This window comes from Homo sapiens, chromosome 7 (assembly GCF_000001405.40).
Source record: "Homo sapiens chromosome 7, GRCh38.p14 Primary Assembly".
Classification (NCBI taxonomy): Eukaryota; Metazoa; Chordata; class Mammalia; order Primates; family Hominidae; genus Homo; species Homo sapiens.
This window is the reverse complement of record NC_000007.14, coordinates 47,303,830-47,322,552: the sequence shown is the minus strand read 5'-3', so window position 1 is coordinate 47,322,552 and position 18,723 is coordinate 47,303,830. Positions and strand designations below refer to the sequence as shown.

Below are 18,723 nucleotides of genomic sequence, written 5' to 3'. Positions count from 1 at the left end.
TGTGTGTGTGTGTTTGTTTGTTTGTTTGTTTGATACGGAGTCTCACTCTGTCACCCAGGCTGGAGTGCAGTGGCGCGATCTTGGCTCACTGCAACCTCCGCCTCCCGGGTTCAAGCGATTCTCCTGCTTCATCCTCCTGAGTAGCTGGGATTACAGGCATGAACTACCACGCCCGGCTAATTTTTGTATTTTTAGTAGAGACGGGGTTTCACCATGTTGGTCAGGCTGGTCTTGAATTCCTGACCTCGTGATCCGCCTGCGTCAGTCTCCCAAAGTGCTGGGATTACAGGCGTGAGCCACTGCACCTGGCCTTTGCTTTTTTTTTTTTTTTTTTTTTTTGCCCGTTCTACTTCACTCTCATGTGCTTTCCCATTGGTTTGTGGTTTTGCTGTTGCATCAGCTTCCTTCTATAGGTCAAGGCTATGTAATGTACCCAGACCCTGGTCCTGGGGCTGAGGGACCAGTTCTGAGGGATGCTTGATGCTTTTACAGTTCTTTAGCCTTTAATCTTTTTGTAGAATGCCAATGAGACTCCTCCTTCCAGGACAGCTGGGAGGGTCGGGAAGTCCTCAGTGAATGTTCATCATCAGGAAAACCTTGGTGGATGATGGGCAGGAGGGAAGCTTCAGCAGTGGGTCCCCCTCCCTGAACTGCTGGTTAGAGAGAGGCTTGAGTGCTGTAGACAAGGAGGTCTTTTATATTGTGTTGTGCATTCTAAGTGGATGGTCTTTGGGGGAAGAAAACAATGTAGAGTAAAATCAGGACAATTTGGTCTATTTGAGCGAAGGTCTTTCTGAACTCCCAAGTGTTTGTTCCCTCCTTCCCCTCAGAGCACAATGGTTATTTCTTAAATTTATTTCCTATGAGACAGGAGTAATTATGGGCAGAGGGACAGATGAGAGCTTCAAGCATTGTCCAGTTCTGTCCCGGGACAGCCCTCTTGGAGAGAGAACCACCTGTGGCAGAGACTGTGGATTGCTGTAAATTATCTTATTAATTGGAACATCACTTGTTATATTGGAGCAATTATAGCATGTTCAAAGCTTTGCTGGAAGGCCCTCCAAATGCCGACACACCCTGCTGGCATTTCAGTAGTGCTGGTGGCCTCTGTATTCGTGAGTTTTGGACTCAGTGGAATGGAGCTGGGCTCCATAGCACCTTCGGGGTCCAGAAGCCAGTGGCATGGTGCATGACCGTGGAGACGCTGCCCATGAAGAACATAGAGCCAGCCTGAAGGAGAATGGTACCACCGAAAACCAGTGGGTTGAGAATGAGACCCTTGCATCAGCAAAGTGAGTAGCCTACCCATTAGGCATGGTATGAATCGGAAACCTTAGTGAAACAAAAACACAAAGAGAGGAGAATCGGGACCAAGAAGGAAGGCGGGTGAAGCCGCATCATCTCCCTCCTCGGGCTGGCTCAGGGCCCCATGAGATGCAGGTTTTCTGGCACAATTGGCTCCTCCTGGAGTCCTGCCTCAGGCTGGTCAGAATTCCCATGCTCCAAGAGTCAGAAGGGACACATTAGAAAGTCTGTGTGGTCTCCTCAAAAGCCACATGCCTCATGTCAGTTTTCATTTCTTCCTCGTCGCGATGGATCTTTCGAGTGCTTGCCAGGGGCCAGGCCCTGCTGTAAACACCTTTCATGCCCTAACTTGGCAGATTCCCTGAGAACTCTGAAGTAGGGCCTATGTCACTCTCCTGCCATTTATAGAGGGGCTGCATCTCCCCAAACCACACACAATTCGTGTTAGGCTGAATTGTGACTCCCTCCACCCCCTGCACATTCCTATGTTGAATGATGCCTTAACCCGAACCCCAGGATGTGAGTGTTTGGAGAAAGGGCCTTTACAGTGGTGACTGGTGAAAGTGGGTCCCTTAGGGTGAGCCCTCATCCAACATGACTTGTGTCCCTGTAGAAGGGGGCGATCAGGACACAGACACACAGAGGGAAGACCATGTGAGGACACAGGGAGAAGATGGCCATCTGTGCACCGCAGAGAGAAGCCTCGGGAGAAACCAGCCCTGCCAATGCCTTGATCTTGGACTTCCAGCTGCTAGACTGGGAGGGGATACATTTCTGTTGGTTCAGTCACTGTGTGGTATTTTTTATAGCAGCCCAAGCTGACTAATACTCCCAACTCGTGGAATACCAGGATTCCTCTTAACTCACAGAGCTGTGGACAGAGTGAAAAGGAAAAGGAATGAGGTTCGTGCTAATGAGCTAGAGGTGGGAAACCCAAGAATCATGTTTGAGTCCTGCTCCAGCTGGGTGGTGCGTGTGTTTCCCTCCAGGTGCAGGTGAGGGGAAGTGCTGAAGCCTCGGCCTCCTCACAGGTATAGATGGACGAGAGTGCACACCTTTAAGAGTTGTTCTGAGGGTCAAGTAAGCCCACTGAGCACCGCGCAGATAGTCACTATTAGTAAAATAGTGATAATTTATAAAGATAACTTATGTTTTCTGAACAAAGATAAAATGCATTCTGAGTCTCTGTTTATATTTACTGCAATGAGAGTACATCTTTTTGTTAACTGAGTGAAGGGTTTAAGTGAAGCTGAGGTTTCGAATTCTTACCTAACACAGGATTCCCAGTGTTGCATTCCTCATTGCTCACAGGACGCTTTAGAAATACTGGGTGAAGATGGCAACGCCTGGTTAGGGACCTGGTTAGAGTCTGACCAGTGATATTCTCTCAAAAGCAGCAGTCTTCCAGTTTCTGAAACTACATGAGAAACCCCCATTAGCTGCCTGTGGTCCCTGGCACATGGGCTGGTGGGCATAAGGGATGCAGATGCCCCGAGTGCCACAGGGGTTCTTAGACAGGCAGGTCCTTTAAGGGTGTCTTTGATTCTATTCAGGTCCATTGAAATCTGCCACATAGAATAAGGTTTTCAAGTCATGGTAAGAGACTTCTGAGATTACAGGGGAGGTTTCTCCCCCTGGGCCTTATGTGATTTAGACTTCCATGGTGCAGTCATTGATACAGTTTGGATATTTGTCCCCTCCATGGGGGCAGATACTTCATGAAGGGCTTGGTGCTGTCCTCATGGTAACGAGTGAGTTCTCACTGTTAGTTCACACGAGAACTGATTGTCAAAAAGAGCCTGGCACCTCCCCTCCTCTCTCTCTCTCTCTCTGTCTCTCTCTCTATCACTCTCTCACTCTCTCTCTCTCGCCTTCCTCTCACCATGTGATGCCAGCTTCCTTTCACAAGTCCAGTGGGAGTGGAGGTAGACAGGAATGCACTGGCATGGGGTGGTTAGGCCAGGGTGAGGGTGTGCAGAGTGCACATCAATGGAAGCTTCCTGAGGCCCTCACCAGGTGCAGATGCTTTTTCTACAGCCTTCAGAACCGTGAGCCAAATAAACCTCTTTTTAAAATAAATTGCCCAGCCTCGGTTGTTCCTATATAGCGGTGCACATGGACTCAGACAGTGGTTGTAGGACAAAATGATGATCCTGGACCAGGACTCCTCGGGACTTCAGCTGTTGAGCCACCAGGCTAAAGTGACCTTTCCTTAGAAGGGCTGTGGCAAAGTTCAGCACATGTCATCTGTGTCCCATGTGCCGTTTCTAAAGGAAAGCCAGATTCTCTGGGAATTCTGCCTGAAAACAGAAAACATCAAGACTTCCTGTCCTGTGGACAAGTCCAGTTATGAGACTGGAATTATTCTGCGGACTAAAGACTTGGAACCAAGCATCTTAGGTACAGCCTCTTCATTGGCATAGACCCTCGCCGGTATCATCTTGAGCTGCCTGAAGCTTTCTCTGACCGCTGTCCACTCCTGTGTGGACGTGGTGTATACATTATGGTAACCTCCATTCTCCATCATGATAATCAGCCCAGGGCTCTCAAAGCCTCTTATGCAGGTTCTCTCTCTGCTTGTGAAGGGCAATACTTCCTCTGTTTGTGGGTTTTTGTTTTTGTTTTGTTTTGGCTCAGCATAAGGAAAGCTTCCCTGAGGAGGGTCAGATGGCTCTTTTCTTTTCTGGTGCTGCTTTGCATACCCTCACCCTGGCCTGACTGCCCTGTGCTGGTGCATTCCTGTCTGTTTGCACTCCCACTGGACTGGAAGCAGCTTTGAGGCAAGGACATTGTGTCACTGAGTCTGTTTCCTGTTGCAAGTAACCAGTCCCAACTCAAACTGGCTAAAGGAACAAGAGAGGAGAAAATGTAACTGTTCGCAAAGTCAAAGGGTGAAAGCTATCGAGTGTCCAGGGACAGCTGAATGGATAAACAAAATGTGATCTATGCATGCAGTGGAATATTACTCAGCCTTAAAAAGGAAGGACGTTCTGACACGCACTACAACATGGAAGAACTTCAGGGACATTGTGTTCAGTGAAGTAAGTCAGTCACAAGAAGACAAATTCTGTATGATTCCACTTACATGAGGTCCCTAGAGTCATTGAATTCATACATACAGAAAGTGGGATGGTGGGGACTTGGGTGGAGGATAGGAAATTATTTCAATGGGGAAAGAGTTATAGTTTTGTAAGATTATAAAGTTCTGGAGATAGTTGGTGTACGAAAAAGTGAATGTACTTGATGCTACAGCACTGTACACTTAAAAATGGCTAAGATGGTAAATTTTGTTATGTATGTCTTATCACAATTTGAGAAAAATAACGAAACTCACTGAGCAGCTGTGGGTGGCTGTGGCCTCAGATTTGGCTTCATGAGGACTCCTTGGCCACTCAGCGGGTGGGTCTCTCTCTCTGTCTCTCTCACACATTTATTTCCAGTGACTCCCTAGACCCTGATCTTCTCAGCTGTGTGTTGGCTCTGTCTGCAGGCTTGATGTGGTCTCTAGGCAGCCTCAGTAGCTCCACTTCAGTGTCATCTTTCTTTAAAGTCTAGAAGGAAGGAAGTCATTTGTTTTCTTGAGAACTCAAACCAAAGCACATTTTTTTACAACTCTCATCCCTTGTAGGTTGCTAAGGGACTATGTGAGTCCCTGGAGGAACTGGCCTCACTTAGTGCATCCCAAGTGTAAAAACTGCTTGGGAAACACTCACTATGAAGAAAAACGCTGTTTTCACTGTTTCAACATTAGAATTCTCTACACAACACCAACTAAACTGGTAAATGTGTTTTCTTTCCAGTCTGATCAAAACCTTGAATATAAATGGGACATCTTCAAAGAATAAGAGAAAATAGGGCTCCAACTGTAATGAACTATTGCATCTACATTTTCTACTTCCTTTTGTGTTATTGCTTAAAAGGAAGACTGTGGCATGGTCTCTTTTGAAGGGGATAATTCCAATTGTGATGAGAATGTCATAAAAGGGTCACCCGGCTTTTGGTGGACAGGATTCCCATTTCAGCCCTGGCTGGAGCAATTCTGGCTTCACTGGGGGAATAAGAACCTTGCTTCCTTTAAAAAGACAGAAACAATTTATCCTTTTGAGAGCATTTCTCATATTTGCTGAAATCAGTTGACCTTAAGCTGTAGAACAAATTTCATATTATTTGTATTATGTTGACATCAGGATTTTAAAAAGAAAAGATTCAACACCAAGAAAGTATTTATTTATCCATTTGTGGGTTTTTCATCATTTTTGTTTGTTTGTTTGTATCTGTAGGACTTTGATTCTCATCGGAAACCATGAAAATGCTTTTCCAGTGTTGGGGTGGTCACTAATTAATTCTCATTATATCTGGCTGCCTGCCATTTTCTCTTTGCTTTCAAGAAGGTTGGTTAAATGGCCTGATTGTTCATAGACAAATAACAAAAGAATTATAGGATAATGACTTTTTTTTTTTTTTTTTTTTGAGATGGAGTCTCGCTCTGTTGCCCAGGCTGGAGTGCAGTGGCACGATCTTGGCTCACTGCAACCTCCACCTCCCGGGTTCAAGTGATTTCTGGCTAACTTTTGTATTTTGAATAGAGACGGTGTTTCACAATGTTGGCCAGGCTGGTCTCAAACTCCTGATCTCAAGTGATCTGCCTGCCTTGGCCTCCCAAAGTGAAGATAAGGACTTTAAAAAAAAAAAACAAAAACAAACAAACAAAAAAATAAAACTAATCACTACTGAGGAAACTCCAATACAAAGTCTTGCTTTTCTAAATTAGAATTTAAAAATTCCTAGCTAAATAAACCCTAGAAATCATCTAATCTGATCCCAATTGAAGTGAGTCTGTAAATGAAGATCCTGAAGGCCCCAGGGGTTGACAATGTGCCCAACACCCCATGGTTTATGGCAGAAGAGCTCAGGCTAGAACTTGGAGATCTGAGCTGTTTCTCTGCAGCAGCCCCAATTCCCCGCCTAGAAATGTAATGGAAGAAGGATACGAGAGATTTGATGTTCCATTTTTTTAGAACTCTCTCAAATAATGGAAAAAGATACTTCCTATTTAACTGCATAATAATCCCGGGATGTGACTAGGAGGGAGGAAAGAATGGAGAGAGAGAGAGAGAGAGAGAGAGAGAGAGAGAGAGAGAGAGAGAGAGAGAAATAGTTAGTTAGGTGGATAGTCTCACTTACTTCTGAAAGTTTATTGTGAATATGACTGTGTATTTATGGGCCAAAGATTGAGACTGTATTTTTAGGTAGTTAACAAAACTCAAGTTTCTTCACTTGGATAGGAGACTATAATATTGACCTCAGCTAAATTTATTTTATTTTTCATTAAAGGTGATATAAAACATTCAAAGGCGATTTGTAGTTACTAATTGATGTATGAGTGAATAATTTTTATGCCTTATCAGGAACACGGGAAATTGGGAACACAGGAAAATGCTGATTTTGTTTTTAATGTCACATGTCCTGATTTTTTGCTAAGTAAGTTATGGTTCCTGAGGATGAACTTTGATGTTTGGATCCCTCATGAATGTTTAATATGTCTGACAACTCCTTACACATTTAGGTTGCAGGTTTTGGCCAGGCTCTAAGGCTTCCGAAGAGCGAGCCAGTGGCCCTGCCTGAGCCCCGTGGGTTTCTCCTCTTCCTGTTAACTTATATGTCATGTAAATAGTGGCCGTTGGAGAATGAGTGGTATCCAGCTTCCCACAGAAGCCTGGATGAGAGCATAAAAATAGATCGTTTGGAAAAGGGCCCGTGACCCTCTGTCACCCTTGTTCTGGGTAAAGGAAATGAAGGAGGTGGAAGCCGAGAGGAGAGGAGCATAGACATTCCTGAAGTCCCAGAACGACGGGCACGCGCCTCCCAAGTTCTAGCCCGGTCCCGGGGGGCTGCCCCGCAGCAGCAGCCTTCCCGGCCACCTCACCCCCGCAGGGCACCAGGGACACCAGCTGCTTAGGCGGAATACCAGAAAGTGAGATGAGTGTTGTTTCCACACACTAACGGTATTATGCCTCCTGCTCTGGGTCTGAGCAGCAAAGGGAAAATGTGAGAATATTGTGGGAATTAAGGGCAGAAGGAGGCCGAGCCAGCAGGATGCTGGAACTAAAAGGAGCGTCTGTTCAGGGCCCAAGATCGGCTGTGGCTGGCAGGGCTGTGCTGGCGTGCACACGGTCTAAACAGCATCCCTGTGTGGCCTCTGGAGCCTCCCACGTTGTGGAAACACATCTTCATAGGGGAGGGGTGCATGGCCTCAGGAAGACGGCTTTTGCCTTAGTAGAAGTTGGCCTGCACCGGAAAACCCTCCATGTAGTTGCTTTGAGGGACCATTATGCTCACTGTGGTGCCCTTATGTCTCCACCTCTGAAGCAGAGAGACAGGCTGCCACAGGCGCAGGGCTCTGGAGAGAGCAGCGGGCTTAATGCCTCCGCAGATGCCCCTGTCCAAGACGGTGCAAATCCCATCTGCTCCTCACCCCGGTCATCCCCACCCCGGGCCATCTCCTGGGCTCTTCTAGGTACAGAGCTGAGGATACAGGCACCTGATCGCCCCACAACAAGGAGCTCAGCCCACGTCCTGTCCTCATTTTTAACATTGCTAAAAATGTTCATGGTAGTTTAACCGTGAACATCAAATGTACAAGTTGAGCAACAACAACAATTCTGCCTGTTCTTATGGTGAGCCACATTTCTAGAAATGAAGTGAACTCATGCAAAAGGGTTTGCAGTAGGTAGATCATCCTCACTTGACTGGTGCATTTGACTATACGATTTTTGGTGCACCTCCCCCAGCCCTGCCGGCTCCTGTTCTGTGCTTGCTAGATGCTCAGCAGGGACAGTGCAGAGGAGCACTTAGAAAGGGACCCAGGCTCCCGCTGCCTCGCTCTCCTCTTCCGTTAAGCATGGGCACATCTCGAGGAGCTGTGCAGACCTAAGGGAAGTGGAGATGGTAGGTGCCAAGCACAGCGCCTGCAGGGTGTAGGTTCTGTGTAAAGTGTAGCTGCTGTCAGCATCCTCCTTGCTGTCTGCAGTCCCAGTCACTGGAAGTGACTGCACTGACCTGAAGATGTGACACTCACCCAACTTATCTGGGAATGCCAAGGCCCATCTAATAAGTGGATTAATTGCTGTGGCATTGAGCTGTGTGGCACTCTGTTAGCCGACTTGCATCTCTGAGCACAGGCAAAGACCAAGGACCTTCAGGAGAAATGGCCCAGGAAGCCCAAGTCTCCCTGTGCTGAAGTCCTTGGGATAAACATGGAATCTGATGCTTTGAGCAGCCCCTTCTCCAAATAAAGGGTTAAGTCCTGTCACCCGGTCAGGAACTGGTCTGACAGAGGGAACTACACAGCCAGAGTGCCCCAGAGTTGGTGCTAATTGAATGATAAACAAAGCCACTTTCATGGGAATTGCTGGGCTTGCTGTTTTCTGGGACAAGCACTGTGATAACAGGAACAAAGTGGATTTTATTTTCCTTCAGCCTCTTCTCATTTGGTGAAATTCCCAGGCGCCATGGGAGTGCATTGAGGGCTTCTGAGTCATGGCATGGGGTCTTCTAGAGCCTTGAGGCACGGGGACTCTGTAAACAGGGATGTGAAGCACCAGGGATTGCCCCCGTGGCTTTGTGGGAACCACTAAGAGCAATGTCAGTCATAGAAACAGGTACTGCATGCTGTGCTGGGTATGTGCTCCTCTCTTATATGACTCTTTGAAAGCTCAACCAACCAACCATAAGGTGGGCATATTAAACTTGATTAATAAACTTTTTTTTATTCCAAAGTTCTGTGCTGCTTCTTGGCATGAGACCCTAGGAACTGATCAACCAACTGTCCACCTACTCCTCTGAACCAGACCCCTGAGCAGTATTTCCACGTCATGCTCTGAACCTCTCCCTCTAACCTCTAAGCCTTTGCTAGTTCATTCATTAATTCACAATGTGAATGACATGGAGCTCCTACAGGTGCCAGCCCAGTGCTGGGGACACAGCAGTGAATGGCAGGAGTGGCCCCTGCCCAATAAGCAAAGAACCCATGAGGTGGTTTTGTCAGAATGCATGCCACCCATCCTTCCAGGATGGCATTCATCAAATGCCACTTGCTCCAGGAAGCCTTCAGATGAAGCTCCCTCCAGATGAAGCAAGTCTCCCTGTGGGTCCTCCTGCAGCTCAAGAGCTGCACCTCACATGTTCCTCCATGCAGTAGTAATTTGCACATGGTCTCATCTGGCTGACACAAGCAGGACACGCAGGCACTCCCTGTTTCGCTTTTGTTTCTCTCTTCCGTTCTCCGGCTGGTGTAGGCCATGTTAGTGGAAAACTGGTGCCCAGCAAAGACATTTTATTTTTTATTTTTATTTTTTAATTTTATTATTATTATACTTTAAGTTTTAGGGTACATGTGCACAACGTGCAGGTTACACATGTGTACATGTGCCATGTTGGTGTGCTGCACCCATTAACTTGTCATTTAGCATTAGGTATATCTCTTAATGCTATCCCTCCCCCCTCCCCCTGACATTTTATTTTTTTATTTTTATTTTTATTTTTTGAGACAGAGTTTTGCTCTCTCGCCCAGGCTGGAGTGCAGTGGCATGATCTCAGCTCATTGCAACCTCTGCCTCCCAGGTTCAAGTGATTCTCTTGCCTTAGCCTCCCGAGTAGCTGGGATTACAGGCACACACCACCACACCCAGCTAATTTTTGTATTTTTAGAAGAGACGGGGTTTCACCATGTTGGCTAGGATGGTCTTGAACTTCTAACCTCAGGTGATCCGCCTGCCTCGCCTCCCAAAGTGCTGGGATTACAGGCATGACCCGCCGCACCCAGCCCCAGCAAAGACATTTTTAATGGAAAAGAAATACGGACAAACACAAATGGAGATAAGTCATCTTAGTACTGGGAATAGAAGTGAGGGTGCAGAGGGATGGTTTTAAACTCCATGCATCTTTGTTTTTCTATCCCAGCTTTAATAGAAAGAAATAATAAATTCAGCAAACACTTATTTTAGGACATTTCCTGTGGGCCATACTGGGAGGAGGGGCGGTCAGTCACACAACTGCATCTGCTCTATGGATTTACAGGTCAGTCATAGCAGAAAACGTGCACATGTATTCATGACACAAACTGAGCATTTGCCAGGCCTGGCCTTGAGATGGTCATGGTATTTACAGTTGGGTGCAGCAGACACACCATTCCCAAGGGTCTTAACAGTATGTTCATACAAACAGAACATTAGTACTGGGCTTTTCTATAATGGAAACATGATTAAATGTTGAAAACATTAGTGCGGAAATTGGTGTCTCGTCCTTTCCCCCAAAATGGACAAGGCACTGTGTTTCAGACTTTGTATTTGATTTTTCAGAAGTTTTACTATTAAGTGCTTATGTGTAATTTTCTTTTTATTAATCCTTCTTAGGTTTTTTGTTTGTTTGTTTTGTTTTTTAACTTGTGGCTTGATTTCTTGAGTCTTTTAGGAAATTCTCAGTATGTATATTTTCCAATATTGCCTCTGCCTCATTCAATTTCTCCACAACTTCTTGGACTCCAATTATAGGTATGTTAGAATTTTTAAGAATCATTTCTCATGTCTTACTGTCTTTTGTGTATTTCTCAGTCTTGTTCCTCTTTATGCTTCAGACTGCATATTTTCTTCCTATTTTTCTCCCAGTTCACTCACAATTTCTTTTGCTGTGTTTAGTCTGCTGATAAAATCATGAACTGAATGCTTAATTTCATTTATTTTGTTTTGAGTTCTAGAGTTTCCATTTGATTATTCTCTCTTTCTCTCTCTCTCTCTATATATATATGTATACACACACACACACACACACACACACACACACACACACACTCTTTAAGTTCTAGGGTACATGTGCACAATGTGCAGGTTTGTTACATATGTATACATGTGCCATGTTGGTGTGCTGCACCCATTAACTCGTCATTTACATTAGGTATTTCTCTTAATGCTATCCCTCCCCCTGCCCCCAGAATGGCAATCATTAAAAAGTCAGGAAACAACAGGTGCTGGAGAGGATGTGGAGAAATAGGAACACTTATACACTGTTGGTGGGACTGTAAACTAGTTCAACCATTGTGGAAGACAGTGTGGAGATTCCTCAAGGATCTAGAACTAGAAATACTATTGACCCAGTGATCCCATTACTGGGTATATACCCAAAGGACTATAAATCATGCTGCTATAAAGACACATGCACACGTATGCTTATTGCGAACTATTCACAACAGCAAAGACTTGGAACCAACCCAAATTTCCATCAATAATAGACTGGATTAAGAAAATGTGGCACATATACACCATGGAATACTATGCAGCCATAAAAAAGAATGAGTTCATGTCCTTTGTAGGGACATGGATGAAGCTGGAAACCATCATTTTGAGCAAACTATCACAAGGACAGAAAACCAAACACTGCATGTTCTCACTCATAGGTGGGAATTGAACAATCAGAACACCTGGACACAGGGCAGGGAACATCATTTGATTATTCTTAATGGACTTCAGTTCTTTGGTGAAATTCTTTTTGCTTCTGCTTTCTTAAACATTCTGTTCAGTTATGTTAGTATCTGTGGCTTTTAACATCAATTTTTGAACTAGCTGTGGGCGTTTTTTCTGTGTGTGGGGTGGTGGCAGTCTTGGTTTTCATTTGTCATGTTTCCTGGCATTGATGATCATTTTTTTACAATTAAATATTTGATACTGTATTTTTAGAGTATAGACAAAGTCAGGCTCTGGGTGGGGGAGGCATGTTCTTTAGAGAGGATATAATTTTTCTTCCAGGCTGCCTAATCAGATCCTGTCATGGTCCTCTTGTTTCTAGTTTGTAGCCCTTCAAGGGTCTCACCTTGAAACCTTGTGGTGTTTGCAAAGGCCCCTCTTCCTAGGTGCATCTTGAACTGCCGTTTTTGGTTACTTAGCATCCACTAAGAGACTGCCACAATCCCTGCTGATCTTTTTTAGATTCGTAGCAGCTGGCTTTGTCTTGTTTACTGGGCATTGGGCCCTGTACCTCTGCCACTTAGGACTCAGAAATGCCTTGAGGGGAAACATGCTCAGAGTGTTGACTCTGTCTCTGCAGTCCTCATTTCTCTGAGACCTTGGCACTTCCAGAACTGGTGCCTTGGTAGCTCTGAACTCCAAACTTGGTCTCCCCAGAACAGTGTGATTACCACTGCTAGTTTGTGTATGGCCCCTATACCACATGCTTCCAAACGGGTCCATGTCTGAGAAGGAAAAATGGCCATGGATCTCCTGCTCCCTTCCCTGGAGGTTTTGGCCCAGTAAGCCCTGGCTGCCTTGGGCGATCTGAATGGGTTCAAACTATTGTTGTTAGTATTTTGTGTAGCTTTCATAATTGTCCTTAGTGGAAGTTTAACTCCTGCACTGTAACTGAAAATTAACATGCTCTCTCTTTCTAGTACTGGCTTTGAGCTGATGCAGCTGATGTGGCCATCTTTGATAGATAAGGGTTTACAGATTGTAATGTCTCCAAGATTGTTGATAAGCATGTTTTTCCACCTTTCTTGACGACCTGCAGTGAACAATCTAACATTCTGGCTTCTTCTACCTCACTGGATAAACATCTGTTTAACCTCTTTCTCTTTAGCCATAACATTGAACATTTGTGTAAATTATTCATCCTCCCTTTTAGCCTACTAATGAACCCTCTGTGGTGGGTAGCAGTATTAATCCTATTTATCGGTGAGGTGGTAAACTGAGAAAGGTAAAACAAATTACTTTAAATTCAAACACAAACCTCCGGCTTGTTGAGCTATTTTTATTATTCCACAGTTATGTTTTAAACATACTCTCATAGCATATTTTTTTTTTGCTCTTTTTCATTTTAAATACTCTTAAGTCTTGGGGATATTAATTTATAGAGTTTTCAATAATTTATAATTATTGAATAATTGATAAGTTAACTTTAATTTCAGTGAATTGTTCGTCTTTAAATATGAAAGATTAGAGATGTATGCTTCAGGTCAGGATGGAGTAACAGAGACTTGATTTATTATCCTGACTGAACAAACAAAAAATGGACAAACTATATGAAATAATGGCTTCCAAGCCAATGGGCATCAGGCAGTGAAAGACAACGATCCCTGAAAAGTAAGAAACAAACATGGTGACAGTACAGTTGTCCCAGTTTACCGCCTAGACAAAGTTTCCAGGTGTAAGGCAGGGAGAGGAAACTCACGCAGAATCTGGGAGACTCTGAGTTGGGCATTTGGAGTTGAAACTCCAGGGGACCACAATGACTTGCAGGATGGAGAGAAGGCTGAACAGAGAGAGAGCTGTTGGAGATCTGCAGAGGATCCGCCATACGTATTCAACTGAGCGTTGGGTAGGAGGACATTAGGGACATTGAAGGCCAGGGAAAGAACCAAATGAAAAGATTGGAAAGAGAGGCTAACCCAGTGCTAACTCAAAGCTGGGAAGAGTGCCTGTTCTCATGAGCAAGAGAGGAAAGTATCAAGATTCACTGGGCATTGAGTGATATACAGAAGGGTTTTGCCCAGTAGTGGGGGATAACTTGCACTAGATGGAGCATGACTCCAGGCCTTCCTAACAAATGTGAAGAGCAAGACCCAAAAAGATAAAAATGTTTCTAAGCAACTTAACTGCATCCCAGAATAAAGTTCAAGAATATTTATAAGAATACAAAAATATCCAGCATCCAAAAACATAAAATCACAGTGTCTGGCATTCAATCAAAAATTACCAGGCAATCAAAGAAGCCTGAAAATAGCAATATAGTTAAGAGAGAAAGCAAAACAAAACTAATGAGGACACAAAACTAATGTTAAGATTATGAACATTAAGACAAGGACATTAAGACATTTATTTTTACTATGTTTAATGTGTTCAAAAAGTTAAGTAGAGTCGTGGAACATATAAAAAGACCCAAACCAAACTTCACTGGAGAGAGAAACTCCAGTGTCTGAAATGAAAAATAACCTAGATGGATTTAACATTTGGCTGATTTTGGATAAAATTACAAAAGCAATTCAATGAAGAATAGATAGTCTCAACAAATGGTAGTGGTACCATTGAATATCCATATTTAAAAAACTAAACTTTGTTGATATATATGCCTCACACCATGTGTAAAAATTAACTGAAAATGGATCATAGGCTTATGTTTATAGTTTCTTCCAAAACTATTACACTTTTGGAAGAAAACAGAAAAACATGTTTTGTGACTGGATTAGGCAGATACTATTTTAGATACAACACCAAACACACTATTCCTAAAAGAACAAATTGATAAACTGGACTTAAATTACAAGATTTTGTTCTTCAAAAGATTCTTAAGTGAATATATGCACAGGCAACAGACTCAGAAGAAATATTTGCAAATCATATATATGATAAGGGACTTGCATCTAAAATATATAAAGAACTCTTACAACTGAGTGTTAAGAAAGCAAACAACCTAGTGAAAAAAAGGAAAAGGATTTGAACAAACATTTTACCAGAGAACACATAAAAATGCCTATTAATAAGCATACAAAAAGATGTTCAACATCATTAGTAATTAATAAAGTTGCAAATTAAAAACACAGTGTTATACCACTACGCCAGCACTAGAATGGCTAAAATTCGAAATGCCAACCATACCAAGTAGGGGCAGGATTGATGGTGGGGATGTGAAATGCTGCAAGTATTCTGGGAAGCAGCTTTGCATTTTCTTAAAAAGTTACATAGACACTTACCATATGGTCCAGCCATTCCATCCCTAGGTATTCACCCAAAAGTGTCTAAAAATACTCATTGCAGCTTTATATGTAGCAGCCCCATAGTGGCAACAACCCAAGTGTCCATCAACAGGTAAATGGACAGAGAAAATGTGATATGTCCATACAATGGAAAAGTACTCACCGTTGAAAAGCAATGAGCTATGTATACATTCTACAATGTGGCGGAATCTCAAAATAATTTCTTAAGTGAAAGTAGAGGAAAAAAAGAGTTTATATGAATGATTTTATTCATGTAGAATTTTAGGAAATGCACACTAAAGCAAAGTGACATAAACCAGATGAGCAGGAGAAGGGGCTGGAGGAAACTCTTGGAATGATGATGTAACTGTTAATTATCTCAATCATGATGATGGTTTCATGGACGTTTACATATGACAAACTGACCGAATTATTTACTTTAAGCATATCCAGTTTTTTGTATATTAGTTATACCTCAATATATAAAGGTGTGGTTTTTAAAGTTTCATGAAAAATTAAACATTTAAAGTTCACTTTTTCTCTACCAAGGTCTATTAGATAACTTAGGATAGTTGTTAATTTAGGCATAACTCCAGACATTTTGTGTGCTGATTAATATATTTTAAAATTCTAGGCCACGCGTGGTGGCTCACACCTGTAATCCCAGCACTTTGGGAGGCCAAGGCGGGCAGATCACGAGTTCAGGAGATCGTAGCCATGCTTGCTAACATGATGAAACCCCGTCTCTACTAAAAATACAAAAAGAAATTAGCCGGGTGTGGTGGCAGGTGCCTGCAGTCCCAGCTACTCGGGAGGCCGAGGCAGGAGAATGGCGTGAACGCGGGAGGTGGAGCTTGCAGTGAGTCGAGATCACGCCACTGCACTCCAGTCTGGGCGACAGAGCGAGACTCCGTCTCCAAAAAAAAAAAAATTCTCTAAGGTTTCCTTAGGAAAAGAATTCGTGCTAAATAAAAATAGTAATTTTTAATTCATATTGAAATGACGTGTGACCAAAAAAGTGCTTCACTTCACATATGTGGGGATACCATATAATTTTTAGAATGTTCATTCTGTCTTGGTAGAGATGGAGCTTGTTTACCTCATTGGAGTGAAGTGCATTCCATTTGTGAATTGATAGTGCAAATTCTGTAGAGATCAATTTTTTTTAAAAAACCAGGATATTACATCCTGTATGTGGAGGTAATTTAGTTGAGTGGTCAGGGCTTTCCCTTGCTTTTTTTGGATATAATTCCTCACTGGTCTGAATAATCCACAGACCAGTGCTCATTGGCACCTGGATTAATGAAAACCCCCTAGGTATTTCATCTTCAGAAATCACATATGCTGTTGATAATTCCTTTCAGAGTATTCTTAGTAAATGTCATTTTTATAAAGTGTGATTCTGGTATTCAGTTTTATTATTGGTTTTCATTTGAAGGGTAAAGAAGGTAGCCTTTTTTTCAGTATAATTAAAATAACACATATTTCAAGCATGTGAGGTGATAGTCCTGTGAGTTGTAGGGAAAACAGCATTATTTGGAAATCTCTAAATTTCAATACCCTCTCCAGGAAATGAATAATATGGAGTTTTTTTCTACATTAATATTCTCTTATCAATCCTCATTAGTTTTGAAACAGAAAACAAACTGACCAGTATTTCTAATAATATTATTTTACTGACCATGGTAGATTTGTCCATTTCTTGAAGCCTGGTTTAAAAAAAGAAAAAATATAAAAGGTAAGATGTTTTAAATATCCAGAAATAATGCAGCTGCTGGGCAAGAAACCAAACAGAAATTCTGTCAGAGGAATGTGCCTGGGCTCAGGCATGGGACACAAGCAGGTTTGCGTTCTGGCCCACCTGCGAGGGTGGCTTCTGCACCCCACGGTGTGGCCTTTGAAGCAGCGGGGTTTGACCTGGAAAGCAGCAGCATGGGTTTGCACCCTCATAGTGCTCGATGTTGATGGCCCAGTTACCAGCTGGGGGGAGGGTAGGGACCAAAGGAAGGTGGAGGACACCTAGGCCGCCCGGCTGCCGCAGGGCCTGCACTTATGGTCTTTATTGGGAGAAGTCGCCTGCTGGTTTGCAGAGGAAAGGCCATGCCAATTCTAAAGTGAGGTGCAGCCTAGATCATGGAGTGGAGAGTACATTACAGGACATCAGCCTTTGTGGGGGATGGGGCTGGGAGGACCAGCCCAGGCGGCCCAATGTGCATCTCCTCACATGACCAGCTCGTGGTAATGGGCTGGACACTGTGGGGGACTGAATTAGGTCGCTTTATTTTTGGAAACAGTGATGGGTGAGAATAAACCCATGCTTGTGGGTGCAGGGCTGGCCGCCTCCTCCAGCCTATTACGGGTAGTGATGTCATGTTCAGTATGGCCATGGATGACAGAAAGCCTCAAAGTCAGCACTGTTTCTTGTGGAACATGCAAAAGCAGCAGAGATTATGACTTCTCCAGTCCTACAACCGAGGTCTCTCTGCTTCCTGTGTTCCCGCTACAGAACCACGAAGCTGCCCTGAGACGCTCACTCACGCTGTGGGGATGTCAGAGAGCCCCATCGGACCCAAATCCACGATGCTCCGGGCTGATGCGTCCTCGACGCCCTCCTTTCAGCAGGCTTTTGCTTCTTCCTGCACCATTTCCAGCAACGGCCCTGGGCAGAGGAGAGAGAGGTAAGAAGATGGATCTTTAAACTTGGCACAAGTTCCCCTTAAAGACCCAGAATGCTGAGAGGCATGTGGGACCAGCGGGGGCTTGCTCTTCAGAGAAGCTGAAGCTAGACCAGGCAGGGACTGGCCTGAAGATGGGGCGGGGCAGGGGACCAGGGCTGTGTGCACGACACTGCTACCGCCGGGGACAGGTGTATGTGGTGACATACGAGAAAATATAGGGACATACAGGAAATACAGGAAAAATCAGTCTTAGAGGGCTTCTGGTTTACAGAAAGACCTGGGGGTGGGAGAGGGTGGGTATTAACAGGGAAAAATGGCCTATTTCTGCTTCACAAAGATACTACCCCTGAGGACATTCATACGTGAGACCATTCCACTTGCTCAGAGTAGGAATAAGTTTCTTTATGCTTTGTTGTATGAACACGTAGCTCCCTATTTAACTTTTTAAATTCTACCTCTGTTCTCCTTAAAATAAAAGAGGAGCCCTCATTTAAGGACATTACGCATAGACTCTGTACCCATGAATGTTCCATTGCTAGTGAAATACGTGTGTCACGTGGTGTGGTTTTAGCTGTCTTTCCGTACTCGTAAGTGGTTGGTAATTTCCAGTAGTCTTTGTGGTATCCGTTAATCAACTGGTTCATCTAGCAAGCATGGATTGAGGACTGATGGTGTATCTGGCAGATAAAGGAGATGGGGCAGAGGGATCATGCTGCGAGGAGGAGGGGACCCACAGTGAACCAACGGCCTGGCTGCGGGGGATGAATGTGGGTGGCATCCCTGCCTAGTGCTGTGGGACAAGACGGGAGGGCATTTCTACTCCCGAGGGCACACGTGTATGTGGCCACAGGTGCTGGCTAAGGGCTAGGAAAAGGCTTCCCAGTGGGTGCACAGCTGAGCTGCGTCTTAAAGGACGAAAGGGCCTTGACCCGGTGAAGATGCAGGAGGGAAGGCGCAGGGGCCGAGGGAGCAGCATCTGCGCATGTGGAGGCCTTCATGGGG

At 44.1% G+C, this 18,723-nt stretch overlaps 1 protein-coding gene across 25 annotated transcripts in view, besides 1 other annotated feature; it reads left to right on the top strand.

Annotated features, from left to right (window-relative positions):
• The window catches only part of TNS3 (tensin 3), a 307,433-nt gene that overhangs the window by 260,034 nt on the left and 28,676 nt on the right, over positions 1-18,723 (top strand). For all 25 annotated transcript variants that reach the window (XM_047420733.1, XM_047420729.1, NM_001410878.1 and 22 more), the window contains one exon: positions 17,550-17,721. In XM_047420733.1, coding sequence (XP_047276689.1) covers positions 17,550-17,721 — 172 coding nt within the window. The remainder of the gene's footprint in view (positions 1-17,549; positions 17,722-18,723) is intronic.
• Positions 6,700-7,502: an enhancer, noted in NCBI's record as "H3K4me1 hESC enhancer chr7:47354649-47355451 (GRCh37/hg19 assembly coordinates)". NCBI's record gives its function as "activates a minimal SCP1, AML or CMV promoter by ChIP-STARR-seq in primed H9 embryonic stem cells {active_cell/tissue: H9 hESC(primed)}" and the evidence as "EXISTENCE:reporter gene assay evidence [ECO:0000049][PMID:30033119]".